The sequence below is a fragment of the Homo sapiens genome, chromosome 8 (genome assembly GCF_000001405.40).
Source record: "Homo sapiens chromosome 8, GRCh38.p14 Primary Assembly".
Taxonomy (NCBI): Eukaryota; Metazoa; Chordata; class Mammalia; order Primates; family Hominidae; genus Homo; species Homo sapiens.
In genome coordinates this window covers 54,426,643-54,445,593 of record NC_000008.11, presented here as the reverse complement: position 1 = coordinate 54,445,593, position 18,951 = coordinate 54,426,643, and the positions used below count along the sequence as shown (strand labels likewise).

General features: G+C 38.3%; 1 long non-coding RNA gene across 2 annotated transcripts in view; it reads left to right on the top strand.

Annotated features, from left to right (window-relative positions):
- The window catches only part of LOC105375841 (uncharacterized), a 28,089-nt gene extending 9,391 nt beyond the window's left edge, over positions 1–18,698 (top strand). For both annotated transcript variants that reach the window (XR_928899.2, XR_928898.2), the window contains exons 2-3: positions 17,147–17,263; positions 17,640–18,698. This is a non-coding gene — a long non-coding RNA (uncharacterized LOC105375841). The remainder of the gene's footprint in view (positions 1–17,146; positions 17,264–17,639) is intronic.
- Positions 18,699–18,951: the final 253 nt, after the last annotated feature.

The following is an 18,951-nucleotide window of genomic DNA, read 5'->3' as shown; positions in this document are numbered from 1 at the left end:
GCAAAGACTCTGAGCATGAATGATTTAACAAATAGCAATCATATGTATATGACTAACTGGTTTGGTCATTGTATGTAGTGTGATCCACAAATACCTAACATGTCAACTCAGTTTTAGGGTGGTTGTTCGAATTGAAGCTTTAATTCTTGAGCAGTCTAAGTCTTCAACAGTTGGAGGGCCTATGCTAATTTGATTTTGCCAGTACATATTTTATGCTGTTTAACACATGAATTATAATGGCATATTTATAAAGATGGTTAACTTATAGCTACTTTTTAACCTTTTGCCTAGCATTTGATTTAGGTACATTTTATTAGTGAATGCTCCTTGCACTTTCTTGTGTACATGCATAACATCACAATCATCAATTTTGATTTAATCCTATGTAAATATCCTATCCATGCTGGTGACCTACAAGGTCCCATATGAACTGGTTCTTTCTTTTTTTTTTGAGACAGAGTCTTGCTCTGTCTCCTAGGCTGGAGTGCAGCACGATCTTGGCTCACTGCAACCTCCGCCTTCCAGGTTCAAGCAGTTCTCCTTCCTCAGGCTCCCAAGTAGCTGGGATTACAGGCACCCACCACCATGACCATCTAATTTTTTTTTTTTTTTGAGATGGAGTCTCACTCTATTGCCCAGGCTGTAGTGCAGTGGCATGATCTCAGCTCACCGCAACCTCCACCTCCTGGGTTCAAGTGATTCTTCTGCCTCAGCCTCCCAAGTAGCTGGTATTACAGGCATTCGCCACCAAGCCCGGCTAATTTTGTTATTTTTAGTAGAGACAGAGTTTCACTATGTTGGTCAGGCTGGTCTCGAACTCCTGACCTCAAGTGATCTGCCTGCCTCGGCCTCCCAAAGTGCTGGGATTACAGGCATGAGCCACTGCGCCCAGCCAAAGTGGCTCATTCCTATCCTTCTACTCCCATCCTTCATGACTCTGCCTTCATCACAGTGTTCTAGTCAACTGGCTTCTGGCCATTCCCAGAACATGCCAAGCTCCTTTTTGCTCGAAACTCATATTCTCTTGCCTATGCCTGGAACTACAGTCCCCTCATTCAGCGACACCTACTCAGAGAGACATCCTACCTAGAATCGTTACTGTCCCCCACCTCCTCCACAAACTTGTGACACACTGTTCTCTGCTTTATAATTTTTTAAAGCACTCATTACTAGCAGTCATTATGTTCTATATTTATTTGTATTGTCTACCCCCTGCCCATTAGAATGCTAGCTCTCAGGGGTGTTACCTGTGTTGTTCATTGCTGTACCCAGCCCCCCATGCCCAGAACTGCTGGCGACTGGCCCATCGTGGGAACTCCGCAAGATTTGTTGAATGAATGAAAGATCACCTGAGACTGAGCCTTACTGAAGGATTTCTTTAAAGCCCACAGAGGGACCAAAGCTGGGCAAGCATTTGACTCTTGGTTAGTCCTTGACCACACATTTTCACGTCTCCTCTTGTTCTTTAAAACACTCTTCCCCCTTAGAGATTTTATTGAAGCCTCATTATGTCACTTTAAGAGGAGGAATGTCCCCTTCAGGGGACCCCTATGGACATGTATTTCATTAACAGAGCATTATCTCACAGAGCAAGCAGGAACTTCCAAAAGAAGGGTGATGGTTATAAGAGCCTCTAAATAATTTTGACTGATTAGGTATCTTAATCCAGTTGCCGGTTAATTATGTTTGTTTGTGATTAACAATATGATTTTCACCTGCTCCCCCTCCACAATCTCCCCTGTGTTTGGAGAAAGCCAATCTCCCTGCCCACTGCATATCTGCTGTGAGCTCTTTGAAGGTGTTTGCTGAGGAGATGAGACCACAGCTATCACCTGGAGCCAGGAGCTGGGAAGAAGGAATCCCTGCCAAGCCACCTGCAGGTTGACTCAGAAAGTTCCTTACGCCCAAGTCAAACAACGGGAGATCTGAAGACAGGGCTCCCTCCCCACCCCCTCACCCCTCACTTGTGTCACTCTTTCTATGGAGAAAATAACTCAGTCATTGAAATGCCCATCAAAATTCAATGTTCTCACTGATTACCTGTGGAGAGGAATCAGGTTTTTCCTTTATTTCCAATCTGTCACACAGTAGTACTTTTAACATACATTAAAAATAAATCACTAGAAGAATAAAATAAAGGCATACAAAATACACATTTTTTTATTCTAGATTTCAGCAGGTGTCAGATTCCATTCAAATTGCTCCCAAATTCCCAACCTGCTTACTTGCAGTTTCTGTACTTCCCCTGCAGGTGGGATACAAACAGTTCACAGGGGGCCTTAAAACAGCAGCCCTTTTTTTTTTTTTTTTTTTTTTTTTTGCCATTTTATGTTACTGGTCCTTATTTTTTAAAAAAAGGAAAAATAATGAGACCTCAAACTGATTATAAAAGTGAAATTAGATAAAAACTTCTATCACTCGTAAGCACCAGATGAACACTATGCCATATATTGACTGCATTCGCTATCGCACAGCTAGGTTATTTGCCTGGCCATTCAGATCCAGGGACCTTGGTGAGTGGAGACGTGAATGCCTTCAACTTCGCTGCTGGGATTTAGTGTAGGTGCAGACTGAGTGAAACGACTGAAAAGCAAACTACGCAGTGATGAGGAAAGGGGGAATTGGAGTTTTCAGGTTAACTTAACCTTCCAGTGACCTGCTTCTCAATCACAGATTTGAATTCTTTCTTCTGTTGCCAAATATTTAAACCTATTTTATTAACCATAGCTACTCCTACCCATCGAATATTTCTTTTTCTGTTTTACTGATGGAGAAATAGAAGTGAAGTTTCTAATAGTCAATCCAGGGGATCTGGTGGCAGAAGCCCAAACTAAGGGGTTTAGTTCTTCACCCTCTTTAGAGTGGGCGTCCCCTCGGCTGTGCCCGCTGTTCCGCCTGTGAGATGCGACAGGCCTGCTCCACACCTGGGAGGTGCCATTTGGCTTTCTAATGGGATCAGCGTTTTTGTCCAAACTCTCCTCACCTAGATATTTCAAGTCATGCCTTCCACCCTATCCTCCAACTCAGTGTAACTTCTGACTTTATAAATACACTTGGAGTCCCTTAAATTCCCATCTTCCTTTTGTTTCCACCACATGCAGCCAACAGAGAGCTGTAGTTGCAAGTTTCCATATGTGAAAAATTATAATATATGAAACATTGATTGCTTTGTACTACTTATTACCATACTAAAGCCTTTGTTCAGACAGAGGACTTAAAATTATTATTTGATGTGCCATTGTATTTTCCAGGCAGACACTTGAACTGTTTATCCTCAATTCCTTTCATTCTAAATTGCAAATAGCTGTACTCTCGAAGATGCTTAAATTGGGTAGCCATATTCCTTGCATGTTACATTTCTTTATAAATAGCTTTTTTGAATTCAAATTATTTTATTTTATTATTTTATATATCTGTACATTTTCTCTAACCCAGGCATCCACAAACATCTTCAAGTCTTTTAGAGTGGGAACTTTCTGTATGGAGGAGATCCAAAATTGTGAAAGGGTCAAAATTGCTATAGTACAGAATAGTACACAAAAGGGGAAAATTATTTCTTTTGTAGATTTATTTTCAGATATAATAGACTTGCACAATATATTTAAAATGGTATGTAGCTTCGTAAAGAAAAAAGTTGTTACAATAGTTGGCACTGCTTTCTAAAGGACAAGAATGTGGAAAAATTATTGTTTTACAAAATAAAATAATAATGACAGTGTGTACAGTACTTTTATATACATACTTCAATTTCATCATCAAAATTACCCTACCAGTTAGATATTCTTACTCTTTTCATTTTTTTTCTACAAGAGAAAATGAGGTTCAAAAGGATGAAATGGCTCCCCCAGGGTCACACAAGAGGAAGAATTGAATCTTCTCATTCCATAGTTTGTGCCCTCTGTGTCCCAAACTGCTAACATGGTTTTACACATGTAAAGAGGGAAATTATTAGCCACTGTAGTATTTATCCAATGCTCGAAGGACTCCAGTTCACTTTTTGTTTTTTTTGAGACAGAGTCTCGTTCTGTCACCCAGGCTGGAGTGCAGTGGCGCAATCTCGGCTCTCTGCAACCTCCACCTCCTAGGTTCAAGCGATTCTCCTGCTTCAGCCTCCTGAGTAGCTGAGATTACCGGCACCTGCCACCATACCCAGCTAATTTTTGTATTGTCAGTAGAGACGGTGTCTCGCCATGTTGGCCAGGCTGGTCTCAAACTCCTGACTTCAAGTGATCCACCTACCTCGGCCTTCCAAAGTGCTGGGATTATAGGCATGAGCCACTGCACCCAGCTCAGTTGACCTTGATTACTAAGAGCACTCTGTCTTGGTTCAAAGACAGTAGAACATGCTTCTTATTAAATATTTTAGTGAGGATACTTTCTATGTCCATAAACTAGGTGTCAATAATGAATATAGTAACCCAGAGCATCCTACATTTAGCTGATAAACTCCTAAAGGAGTGTCCTTCAAAGAGTTTTCCAAACTTTTTTTGACAGAGGTTCTCCTAAGGGGATCTGCAGAGAACCCTGGGTATCTGTATTCAAGCACCCCAAGCTTGAATACAGATTAAATTATGTTCCCTAGCCAAGACTGGGATGCAATGCTTTAATATATTAAAAGTGGTAAAAGATTAATGATATTCCATAGAACTGTTGCAACATAGATTAAAACTATAATTATGCTAAGCTTAAATTCAAGGTGCCCGAGTACTATTATTCCTAAAAAGTCAACAACAACAACTAGGTTCTTAGTCCCCTCATTATTTGTAAATAATAAAACTTCTAAGGAAAAGATCCCCTTAACTTCATCTTATTACTTTTTTCCATAAGAGAGCTAGAGCCTTGGTAATCTTTAATGTCAGAAGGAAAAAAAAATTATGACTTGAAGCTTTGTTGAGTACATCTTCTTTTGTGATTCCAGTAGTGTCTTACTCCCAGAAAGAATTAATTTTTTATATCTTTCATAGCTATTTTGTCCTAATTTTGCTGACAGAGTTCAGGTCACAATGTAGATCATCTTGTTAAAACTGACCACCTTGTTTTATTCTTCTTTATACTTACTCCTTACCTCTTTGTACAACTTTTTGACACAAATTATTAGGTGCTTAATAAATACTAATTGGTTGTAATTCCAGTTGATTAAGAATGATGGAAAAGGACTTGGTATCCCTATGAGTTTTGTTTTTTTTTTTTTTTTTTTTTGAGACGGAGTTTTACTCTTGTCACCCAGGCTGGAGTACAATGGTGCAATCTTGGCTCACCGCAACCTCTGCTTCCCGGGTTCAATCAATTCTCCTGCCTCAGCCTTCTGAGTAGCTTGGATTACAGATGCCCACCACCAAGCCTGGCTAATTTTTGTATTTTTAGTAGAGACGGGGTTTCACCATCTTGGCCAGGCTGGTCTCGAACTCCTGACCTCAAGTGATCCACCTGCCTCAGCCTCCAAAAGTGCTGGAATTACAGGCATGAGCCACTGCACCCAGCCCTATGACCTTCTTAAGCCCTGTTTCCTACATGTTCATTTTGATTGTGAGAATCTTGAGTTTTCTTGTATGGTCTTCTGTCACTTAACAATGGGGATGTGTTCCGAGAAATGCTTCCTTAGGCGATTTGGTCTTTGTGAAAACATCCTAAAGTGCACTTACACAAACCTAGATGGTGTCACCTACTACACACCTAGTCTATGTGGTATAACCTATTGCTCCTGGCTGCCTAGCATGTTACTGTACTGAATACTGTAGGCAATTATAATGTAGTATTACATGCACAAATGTATTTGTGTAACTATGCATATCTAAACACAGGAAAAATACTGTAAAAATATGGCATTATCATCTTATGGGGCTGCAGTCATATATGAAGTCTGTCGTTGACTAAAGGTTCCTGTGGTACACGACTGTATGACTGTATGGTTAATAATGCCAGGCACATATGGAAATTCAATCTGCCTACATCAACTACACATCTACCAGTGGATTTTCATAGCCCTGAGTTCCATGTCATTTTCAGAATGTTCCAAATGACAATCCAAATTATTTATAAGCATTTGCAGACCACTCTTTTATAAATATAACCATTTTGAATGTTTTATTGCTATAACAACAGACATTAAAAACCTTTAGAAACATGATTAACAATACCATGAATCTAGATAAGGGATAAATGGAGGTTTTCCGTACAATGTTTTTTAGCCACTCTTTTGTAAATTTGAAAAGATTCCCAAATTTTAAAAAATTATTTAAACACGAAACCTTAAAAACATTATGCTAACTGAAAGAAGCCCATCACAAAGGACCACAAATTGCCTGATTCCATTTATATGAAATGTTCAAAATAGGCAAATCTGTAGACTTATGAGTTGCTTAGGGCTAAAGGATAAAAAAAAGCGTTGAGGGGTGATGGCTAAAAGGTGTGTGGTTCTTTTTGGGGTGATGAAAATGTTATAAACTTGATTATGGTGATGATTACACAAGTCTGAATATACCAAGAAATCAGTGAACTGTACACGTTAGATGAGGAAATTGGTATCTAAATTATATCTTAATAAAGCAGTTATTTCAAAAATTAAAAGTCAGAAACAATCAAAAGACATAGATATTAAAAGTCTTGTTTGAAATTGAAAACTGGTTGAAAGGTGCAGCCACTTTACATAGCACCAGTCAAGATTCTTTCTTTCCCCTCCCCTCCCGGACGAAGCACATTCCACATTCCCAGTAAATGGATTCTCTCCTCCTCCAGGGTGGGTAGTAGAAAAATGTTCTAGCACATAAATGAATCAATTTATGAGTAGTCAGGATAATGTTAACATCTGACAAGTTTGATTTTAACCTTTATCTGTAATTTTGTGTCTTATGTTCAACGTGAATTCATAGATATTTCTGGAAGAGCTTTTGCCTAAGACATTGTACAAATCAATTCAGAATTCTGAATGGCATGCTTCCTTTCTTCCCATCTTCCTGCCTGGAATGGGTAACATGAGTTTTCACTCTCTCTTTCTCAGTTTTATTAAAATTAAATGGCAATGAAGGTTTGTGCAGGAATATTGATGAACTTAGAGAGATAAGTTTACCTTAAGTTACCCAAGTTAAAAATGACATTCAGGTAATCACACGGATGGAAGAAAATCCACTTAACATACAACCCTTGTTTCCCTGATTATGTATGGGCTAGTATTTTTTATCAACTTTCCACTCCCTTGTTCATTTTGGGAGTTAGTGAAGTATTCCAGATGAATTTAGCTTCATGTTCCACTATATTGAGTAAGGGTGGGATTGGATGAACCTGAAAAATATTTGTGTAGGAGGAAATTTTTATCAGTAGTCAATATTCCACCTTTTTACATAAGAAATGAAACAATTTTGCAAATGGATTTAAAAGGCACATAGCCATGTTCTGTGTGAAAATGTTTTCTTCTGGTGCCTGTGGACTCTGACACAGAGAATAGTTATTTCTCTGCAAATTGAGCTTTATACTAACCAGATTGTTTTTATTTAACCATGAGTGTCTGTGACAATATGACAAAACATGCAAATCGCTAGAGAGTTCTGCTTGGGTCCAAGAACATATCACTTCAGCATGGATCAAGACAGCAAAGTGCAGGTGATGTGGCATCATTACCACGCAGAGGGTTAGCAAATGATTTTACCAACTGCAGTTTAAACATCTTATTTGTCCTTCCTTCCTCAAAGGGGAAACATGTTTTCTAAAATTGATTGTGGTCGTTTTTCTGTTTGGAAACATTTGCTAGAAGAGAAAATAGGAGTTCTAATGTTAAATGATTAACCAAGGGCTTATTATTCAGTTTTTAAATTTATGAAGATTTTTTTTCTACCAAAACAAAGTGTATTATAGTCAGAATGAATAACTTTTACTCATTTCAGGGTATTTTATTACCCTATATTTTGAAGAAGTTAGTCATTTTTATTTGGGACCAGAAAAAAGAGTCAGCCTTTTTTTTTTTTTTTTTTTTTTTTTTTTTGAGACGGAGTCTCACTCTGTCGCCCGGGCTGGAGTGCAGTGGCGCAATCTCCTCTCACTGCAACCTCCGCCTCCCGGATTCAAGTGATTCTCCTGCCTCAGCCTCCCAAGTAGCTGGGATTACAGGTGCCCGCCTCCACGCCCAGCTAATTTTTGTATTTTTAGTAGAGACGGGGCTTCACCATCTTGGCCAGGCTGGTCTCGACTCCTGACATCAGGTCATCTGCCCGCCTCGGCCTGTCAAAGTGGTGGGATTATAGGCGTGAGCCACTGCGCCTGGTCAGAATCAGACTTTTTGATAGCCAAATGGATGATTTACCTGTGCCCACTTTAACCTCCTTCTGATATTCCCGTAGGAATGGAATTCTCTACTTCTGTAGAACCAGATAATTCCTAATATAAAACATGAAAACATTGTGAATAAATTTTAAGATCCAAAGAAAGACAGGCTTATTTTGTGGTTCCCAAACAAGAAACAAAACCAACAAAAAACAACAACAAATTTGAATTTAAAATTGTGTGTCTGCTATTGTAATTATTCACATGTGCTTATAAACACACTCTGCATTTCTGATTTCCCTGGATTACCCTATTTATATAGAACTAAAATTGCAGCTTGGGCAGCATGCCACTCTCATGGCATAGCAAATTAGACTTGGATATCCCAGAAAGTGGAAGAAGGTTTAATAATTATAATTCATAGCAAATTAGACTTGGATATCCCAGAAAGTGGGAGAAGGTTTAATAATTATTGTTTTGTATAGTATTCTAATTTTTCATATATTTTTTAAAGTTTACACAATTTCAGAAGACATAGCTTCTTAATATTGTCACATAGCATATTTAACTCAAATGGGGTGACTATCAGTAGAACAGATACCTGTTCTATAATATCACCTACACTAAATACTTCTATGTTATAGTTTACAATCTCAATTTGAATTTTGAGTTATCAGAGGCAAGATAATTTTCTAGAAGGGCCAAGCCATTCAGTTTTGCTTAAGATCAGCTCTGAACTTGGTGACACTCATGAATCCCAGAAGCCTATCCCAAAGTATTAGTTAGTAGAAGGTACCCCTAAGATATCTAAGAAAATAACATATTGTACCAAATACAGTATCATTAGTTCTGTTTGAAATAAATATAATTTCTCTCATGAAAAAAGGAACTTTGAATTTTAGAAGGTAGTCATTTTGACCTACCTTTTTACACTGGAATTACTTTATTAAGTTAGATCAAACACAGGCTCTTTGCCTCAACTAAATGGACATGCTAAACTGGCTCCAAAGTTGATTTGTGGAACTCAATTATGGACTTCACAAAGTGTTCAAGGTTACTTTTCAATTTGTTTCAGCCAGAATCAATAAATCTCTCACCTGGTTTCTTTGCTGTACGTATTGTACTGGTTAATCATGTATATACATGGCATAGCAAATTAGACTTGGAGAAAGAGTTTTCTGATGGAAGCCAATTTTTAACTACTGTACTGTTGAAATTTTAAAACAAAGGAAAACTCCTTCTGTTTATTATTAAGGTGTGATGGGAACTAAGAGCCATAAATAATTCTGCTGGCCAATTTCCAGAACTGGAAGTAAAAAGAGAGAGAAATGTGGGCAAGGGAAGGGAAGGGAGGAAAAGAAACTATCTTCTGAAATTGTTTCCTTGAAGAATTGCAACATCTAAGAAATTCTTAATATTAATAGAGAGCCACGGGTGCCCAAAAAGAAAAGGAAATAGTTCTACACATATGGATGCAAGCTTTCTTAATACATACATAATATTTTAAAAGACATCACAAAATGCTTTCTAGAGACTAAAAATTAAACTTCAAATTTATGTGGGTAAACGTGGAAGAGCTGTAGCAGAGAAAATTTTAAAAATCATATCCACAGTAACCCCTTCCCCATGGTAGCTCCCCTCTCTTTTCCCTGGGCTACCCTATTTATATAGAACTAAAATTGCAGCTTGGGCAGCATGGTGAGACCCTATCTCTACAAAAACGTTTACAAATTAAAAAATTTGTCAGGCATGGTGGTTGCGTGCCTGTGGTCCCAGCTACTGGGGGGTTGAGGTGGGAGGACTTCGTGAACCCAAGAGTTCGAGGCTGCAGTGAGTTGTGATTGCGCCACTGCACTCCAGCTTGAGTGACAGCACAAGATCCTGTCTTAAAAAATAATAGTAAAATTAAATAAAATAAACCAAAATAAAATAAATATAATATAAAATATAAAAAATATATAAAATAAAAAATAATAAGCAGAACTAAAATTAGAGGTTTCATCTAATGGTGGATGGATGTAGCATGTACTTCAATGGTGCCCAATCAACCTAATTCTGCCCTAACTGAGCTGAAGAAACTGCGCTGGACGTCACAACACCCGAGCCCCATCTCGTGCTCAATCTTGTGCTGGTTGTGCAGCTAATATCTGTGTGGCTTTGGCCTAATCATCTTGTTTCTTCCTTCACAGAATAAAAGGACTGCCCTACATGACTCTTAGGTGCCTTTCATTTATCACATTCTGGGCCGTAGTTCTTTGCATGGCAATGAGATTTCAAAACTCCCACCTCTCTGATAAAGTGGAGAAGTAGAATATTTTTAACCTTATCGCATTCTAGCATATATTAGTATAAAAATTACCTGGGGAAGGATGTGATAGGTTTGAAATAGCTTCCATGGATCTGCATTTTCACCTAGCTTCTGCAGATTCTTACCTAGATTGCTCCTAAAACCTGGAGTGAAGACTAGCCCTAGGATATCTCTTAAGCTTCTAATGCAGAAGAAGGCTGTGAAAATCAAGACTTTTAAAATGACTTTTCCTAGGGGTATCTTTAACATTCTGAATGAAAATAACAGCTTTTGCACTGAGGAAATTAACATATAGGAAAGGCAGTTCCAGGAAGGAGAGCAATTGTCATAGCTGGGGGACAATTTCTAGGTTTAAGATGCTTGTTCATATTGTTTGCTGAAAAGAGTATAGAGATAAGGAATGATAAGACCAATGTCTCTTTAATTTTAGTGGAAATTATTTGCTGTAAATAAAGCACTGTAATACTCACATTCATTAAATCTAAATATAAATAGTTTTATATTCCTTAATACCATGAAGGATGTTTCACATCCTTCTATATGATTCACATCTCATATCTCTTTTTCTAGTCTTGCTCATTCTGAAGGTATTTTTAAATCAATGTCACAAGTTGACAATGGTGGATCTAGTGCTGACCCATTAACATCTTTTTAAGATGTTACATATAAAATTCATTCTTTAAAAGTGTACAAATTCAGTGATTTCTAGTATATTGAGATATCTGGAACCATCATCACCATTAATTTTTAAATGTTTTCGTGACCCCATAAGAAACTTTTAGCAGTTTATCCCCCCAGATATGGCCCAAAGAAAGAACTACCCTATTTCATATCTCTATAGTTTTGTCTATTTGAGACATTTCACAGAAATTTCATATCTCTATAGTTTTGCCTATTTGAGACATTTCACATATAACACATATGGAGTTATACCATATGTGGTCTTTTATGACTGGCTTCTCTTAGTGCAATGTTTTCAAAGCTCATTTGTGTTGTAGCATATATCAGCATTTCATTTCTTTCTATGGCTGAATTATATTCCATTGTGTGCTATGCCAAATTTTATTTATCCATTCATCAGGTGATAGACATGTGGATTGTTTGTTTCCACTTTTTGACTACTATGAATAATGCTGCTATGAACATCTGTATACAAGTTTTTTATCTTTATAATTATTTTTGGTGGAATTGCTGGACCATATGGTAACTAACCTTAACCATTTTAGGAGCTGACAGATTGTTTTCCAAAGTGTCGGCACCATTTACAAATCCTACCAACCATGTACGAGGGTTCCAATTTCTCCATATTCTCGCCAGTACTTGGTATTATCTATCTTTTTTAGTACAGCCATCTGAATGGGTATGAGTCAGAATCCTACCGTGGTTTTGATTTGCATTTCCCTAATGACTAATGATATCGAGCATCTTTTCATGTACTTACTGGCTATTTGTGTACGTTCTTTGGAAAAATGTTCAGACTCTTTTCCCATTTTAAATTGAGTTGTTTGTCTTTTTATTATTGAGCCTTAAAAGTTATTTTTATGTTTTAGATACAAGTTCCTTATGAGATATACGATTTGCAAATGATTTCTCCCTAGTTGCCTTTTCACTCTCCTAATGATTTCCTTGGAAACACAAAACTTATTAATTTTGATGAAATGTGTTTGTTCTGTTTTTCTTTGATTGTCTCTGCTTTTGGCGTCAGATCTAAGAACTTACTGCCTAATCCAAGATCATGAAGATTTATATTTATGTTTTCTATTATGAATTTTAATTTTAGTTCTTACATTTAGGAGTCTGAGACATTTAAAAAGTTTTACTTTTTTATTATAGTAAAACACACATACAATAAATTTACTACCTTAACCATTTTAAGTATACAATTCAGTAGTGTTGATTGTATTCACATTGTTGTGCAAACATTGCCACCATCCATCTCCAGAATGGTTTTACCTTCCCAAATGGGAACTGTATCCACTGAACAACAATCCGAATTTCTCCCCGCCCCCAGCCCTGGCAGCCAGCATTCTACTTTTTGTCTCTATGAATTTGACTACCTCTTATAAATGGAATTCTACAGTCTTTGTCTTTTTCTGATTGGCCAGTTTCATTTAGCATGCCCCCAAGGTTCATGGATGTTGTAGCATGTGTCATAATTTCCTTCCTTTTTAAGGCCAAATAATAGCCCATTATATGCATATATTACTTTTTTAAAAAGTAATGGAGACAAGGTCTCATTATTTTGCCCAGGTTGGTCCTGAACTCCTGGACTCAAGCAATCCTCCTGTCTCGGCCTCCCAAAGTGTTGGGATTACAGGCATGAGCCACCATGCCTGGCCTATATATTACATTTTGTTTAGGCATTTGATCCATTTTGATTTAAGTGTCATTTATGGTATGAGGTAGGAGTCCAACTTTATTGTTTTCCATGTGCAAATCCAGTTGTCTCAGCACCATCTGTGGCCAGTTCATTCTTAGCACAGATAAGTAACTGAATTTAAATAACATCATTATTTCAAACTCAAATTTCTGTGGAAAACCATTTTAAAGGCGGTTTCAAAAGATATAGAGCACATTCAAGATACTTTGTGTATAGGTGACAATATGTATTTCAAGACAAACATAACAAACAACATGTGACAATGTCATGTTGTTGTTTCTTCCCCGTTCTCTAGAATTTTCTTTTCCTTTTTCTTTTTTCTTTTTCTTTTTTTTTTTTTTTTTTTTTGTAGAGACAAGGTCTCACTATGTTGCCCAGGCTGGTCTTGAACTCCTCGACTCAAGCCATCCTCCTGCCTCAACCTCCCAAAGTGCTGGGATTACAGGCATGAGTCACTGAACCCAGCCTAGAATTTTCTTTTTACTGTTGAAAAGTAGACTATCACTGCATATTCTACTTCAAGGGTATTGTGAAGCTAAATAATACAAATCATAACCTAGAAGAATTCCATATTTATATTATTACCAAAATTTAAGTATATGTTTATATTTAAATATAATAGTCATAATAAAGCATGCATACAGGCATATACACTGGAAGAAAAAGAATCATTAAAATTACTTCTGCTCTCTTTGGTGGGAATGTCTGTCACCAAGAATCAATATGTACTTCACTACCAATAGGTGGCGCTAAACATTTAGTCAGGATTTTATTCATTTTTACCTTGCTCACCGTATACATAACCATAGCTTCCCGTGGAAAAGAGAAGCAACTTATAAAAAAGATTCAAAACGATCAGGAAGAAATGCGCTCTCTTCTCATCCCAATTCAGTCATGTTCAAAATGGCAATAAATGAAGGCAGCTTTCAATTAAACTGAGCAACAGGGACAAGTTTACAGATTTGAGTTGCTCCAACATCCCATAAGAAAAGGCCTTCTTACTACTCTTCAGGTGGCCCTTGAGGTCAAGGACACAATCAGATCCTCTTGGAGCCACCAAAAAGTATCCGGGTAAACTGGAGGGTTTTTGTTGTTGTTGTTATTTCTTTAAGTCTTGAGAGGAAAAAAATGCATTTACAGCAGAGAAACATATACAACTGACTCCGGACAGATGTTCAAGAACCAATCAAAAGACACATGCTTGATAACAGGACAATTATTTGCATGTATTTTCTTTCTTTTTTCTTTTGTCTTTCTTTTTTTTTTTTTGACAAGGTCTTACTCTGTCACCGAGGCTGGAGGGCAGTGGCGCCATCACGGCTCACTGCAGCCTTGACCTCCCTGGTTCAAGCCATCCTCTCACCTCAGCCTCCCAGAGTGCTGGAATTACAGGAGTGAGCCACTGCGCCCAGCCTGTTTGTATTTTCTGTGTTATTACAACAGTTATCAATCTTCATCACTGGTAAATTTATAATTATATACATACATATGTCTTTGTATAGATATATACTCACATATATCCTATTGATTGTTGTCACATTAATACTGAAAAATGAGTAATTTTAAAACTGATCTTTTACATTAAACATCTATATATTACAACATTATTACATATTAAGTAGCATTGTGTTTTGGGTCAACTTGATTTTTATTTATGGTGCCTTACACCATTGAGAGATTGCATTTAAACAAGTAAGCCTCATGCTATCATTTACTGTTCCCTAGGAAACAGAAGTCTAATACGCAGGATAAAGCTGCAAAACAAATGACCCTTCACCTCCAACCCATCTCGAGAGTATGGTGATCTCTTTTTTATAGATTTCTTGGCTTTGGATAAATTTGGGATGATATGGGAATTGTCCCAGAGTCCTGCCAAATGCTCAATCCAAAGAGCCTCTGAAACCTCTCCTTAGTCCTAGATCTCTCCAGTTTTGTTAAATTTTTCCAGGCTTCTCTGAAACAGAGCAAACTGTATCAGTTTTTCAGCATCCTTGGTGAGGGTTAAAATGCTTGCATTCTTTTTTTTTTTTTTGTCCTCTGTAAAATGCAATTTACTACCAAGCTAGAAATCCTCCCCCATTGAAATAATATCAAGCCTTACATGCTACAACAGAAAGTATCTACTATGTTTACACTTACTAAATTGAAAATACATGGATAGGATGAGCAAAATTTTTATTTTTATTTTCTATTTATTTTATTTATTTATTTTTTGAGACGAAGTCTGGCTCTGTCACCCAGGCTGGAGCACTATGGCACGATCTCGCCTCACTGCAACCTCTGCCTCCTGGGTTCAAGTGATTCTTCTGCCTCAGCCTTCTGAGTAGCTGGGATTACAGGCGTGCACCACCATGCCTGGCTAATTTTTTTTGTATTTTTAGTAAAGATGGGGTTTCACCATGTTGGCTAGGCTAGTCTTGAACACCTGACCTCAGGTGATCGCCTGCCTCTGCCTTCCAAAGTACCGGGATTACAGGCAGGAGCCACTGCTCCTGGCCAAGCAAAATATTTTTAATAAATTCAGATAATGCAATAAATGAAGTTTCTTCACAAATCCTTTCCCCCCAGCAATAAACTCTAGGTGTTTAAAATTTCAATGAACTCAGTTCCGTTAAAATATACTTACTGGTTCATTTAAAAATTTTATTGGTTCATTTGAATTTATTTCCAATAATTTTTAGAAATTTAGGTTTATTTAGCATTTATAAGAAACAGTTGCCCTTCTTGGCAGGATTCCATTGCATGCCAAGTACACATATATTTTTATCACAGTCCAGGGGAGTGCTTGAAGGCAGGAAAACTATAGGTAGATTGAATAAGTTCATATGCTTAGCTAGCTTAAGATGGTACGGTGTTCTGGGATCAGCCTGAGTCTTCAGTTCTCCCTTTGGATTTCACATATAATGGCAGAGGAATTGTTTAGTGTTTTTCAGAGTAGAGTTCATGGGCCTGAGGAATTCTGAGACATATTCTTGGGGATCTATGGATTTTCTATGCAATTTTATGTTTGGATTTTGGTTGGTTAAAAATATCAATATAGATACATTCTAAGTCATGTGGATATCCGGCTCCTAACAACCACTGACAGTTTTAGTCTCCTGCTTGGATTTGTGTTTGCGTGCAGTGGCACCAAGCGACACCACTTTAATAGTTAGGAGATAATGAAAAAGAAACTGGGTGCGGAGGTTTGTAATGCTTTTCTGTTGGTTGAAATCATACTCCTGTAGGTTTTCCAATACAGTTTAAACCTTTTCATTTTAAAATATGGGCAGGTTTCTAAGGAATTTTTTTTTTTTTTTTTTTTTTTTTGATAGAGTCTCGCTCTATTGCCCAGGCTGGAGTGTGGTGGTGTGATCTCGGCTCACTGCAACCTCCACCTCCTGGGTTCAAGCGATTCTCCTGCCTCAGCCTCCTGAGTATCTGGGATTACACGTACATGCCACCACGCCTGGCCAATTTTTGTATTTTTAGTAGAGACGGGGTTTCACAATGTTGGTCAGGCTGGTCTCGAACTCTTGACCTCGTGATCCGCTCACCTCGGCCTCCCAAAGTGCTGGGATTACAGGCGTGAGCCACTGTGCCTGGCCAGGAATTTTAAAATAATTTCATAGCAAATAGTTCACATTTCTTAAAATGTTGGTGCTTAGAGTATTATAGTGACTATGTGATGATTATTTCATGCAAATTATATTTCAGCCAAATAGCAAGTGTAGTTAGCTGGCATTTCAAGTATCAGAAACTTTACCATAGCAATGGCTAATAGGCAATAAACTACTAATCTCTACACCAAAAAATGTATTCACTAATTGGAATAAAGTATGCTAAATAATTTTTTTGTTGGTGAAAGTCATGGTGTTCAAGATAAGTGGTGACTAAAAAGATTACATGGGCCTTTTGTTCTTGAATGAACAAATTACAGGATCTTAATCCCTTCTTCAGAGCCTTTGGGCCAAGTAGAAAAAGAATAAAATGCATTCGCCATGCAGTTATTAATAACCCAGAGAGGTCTGAAACACCCTGGAAGCAAATGTATTAAAACTTCAACACAAAACATGTAAGTATTCGCACTTAGTGGATGAATGAAATTATAACGAACCCTCAGTATCAGATTGTTTTCTATCAAATAAGCTGAAAAAATAACTTTGATTTTTAGTGTTGGATTGTCAGGGGTTTCTTAGTTATTTTGTTTATTTTTACAATTTCAGGTGTGGACTGCAAAAGGATCCATTCAGCTCATGTGGTCCTCACATCAGAACACAATTGCACCCAGCACAGAGTGAACTCTCATGCGGGTACTCTTTGAAGATCAGAGAGGGGGCCAGGTACAGTGGCTCACGCCTGTAATCCCAGCACTTTGGGAGGCTGAGGTGGGCAGATCACTTGAGGTCAGGAGTTCAAGACCAGCCTGGTCAACATGGGGAAACCCCGTCTCTACTAAAAATACAAATATTAGCCAGGCGTGATGGTGCACGCCTGTAATCCCAGCTACTCAGGAGACTGAGGCAGGAGAATCACTTGAACCTGGGAGGCAGAGGTTGCAGTGAGCTGAGATCACATCACTGCACTCCAGCCTGGGCGACAGAGTAAGACTCCGTATCAAAAAAAAAAAAAAAAGGGAAGGAGGGGTTTCCCTGAGCATAAAAGTTCAGAAGTTATGAATTTTGAAATTTACTTGCTAAACATTTATGCATTTGTCAGGATGTGGTCCAAGATTTGCAAATTTGGGTGAGAAACTTATAGCCCCCACCTACCCCACCAATCACTGGAAGCTGCTGACATTTATGAGAAGGAGGAGCCGACAGTGGAGGATGACCATGAGGGTGGAGGCTCACCACAAACTTGAAACCTTCAAGACCATTATCCATTAACGGGGGAGGAGCACAGGTTCTGTGAGTCACAACTTGAGTTGTATTATATTAAGTAAGGTAAAGACCGTCAACCACGGCATATGAGGTCAGGCCACGTTTTGCTGGTGGTTTTTAGAGCTGCTTGGGTTTTAGAATTGTGGATAAGGAGTGGTGGACTTGTACACATTCTAACTCTGGTTTGCTATTCAGTGTTGAGGAAGTTACTTCCCAGTGCCTCAGGATATAGTCACCTAGATGTTGAGGAATGACTTATCTCCAGGATTAAAGCAGTTGCTGCCACACACAGTGCCATGAATTTTATAAGTATCCTACATATGCGGTTCTTTGAGTGCTCACTACAGCAATGAAATCTGGCTAACTTCCCAGAGAGGGAACTGATTGGAGGAATATGGGTGAATGAAAACACCCAAAGGACGAGCTGAACAGTGAAGAAGAGTAAGACCCAGGGGAGCGGGGGGAGCGGGGAGAATCAGCTCCTGTATTTTCTGTGTGTGTTATGGCAGTCAAAATTGAGGGCCTGGAGGAGCCATGTTTGCAAAGCTAAATCAAATTTCAGCCTCTTGCCTGAGGAAGCCAGCTCTTTGACTGTAGGAGGAACGGGACAGTTTCCATCCCTCTACCCATAACTCCAGCACCAAGATCATGTCTGGTGAGGACGAACTCATTTGCGGTACCTTCTGTCCTCAGTAAATGATGCATTGTAAACTCATGGGGAAAGGAGCCATCCAAAGAAAAATATGTATCATTTATGTAACATACCGTTTAAAGGTCTAGTTTCTTGTCTTGGTCCTGCTGCTTATTATGTGTGACCTTAAGTGAATCACTCCAAGTCTCTCATTTTTATTTTATTTTTTATTTATTTATTTTGAGATGGAGTCTTGCTCTGTCACCCAGGCTGGAGTGCAGTGGCGCCGTCTCGGCTCACTGCAACGTCCACCTGCCAGGTTCAAGTGATTCTCCTGCCTCAGCCTCATCATAGCTAGGACTACAGGTGCCACCACCACACCCGGTAATTTGCAAGCCTCTCATTTTTAAAGCAGGTAATAATGGTGCTCTCATTCTATTAATAAGGTTGCAATAAGAGTCAATGCAATGCTGGACATAAAGCACTTGGAACTAAGTAAGGTCTCCGCAACACTCAT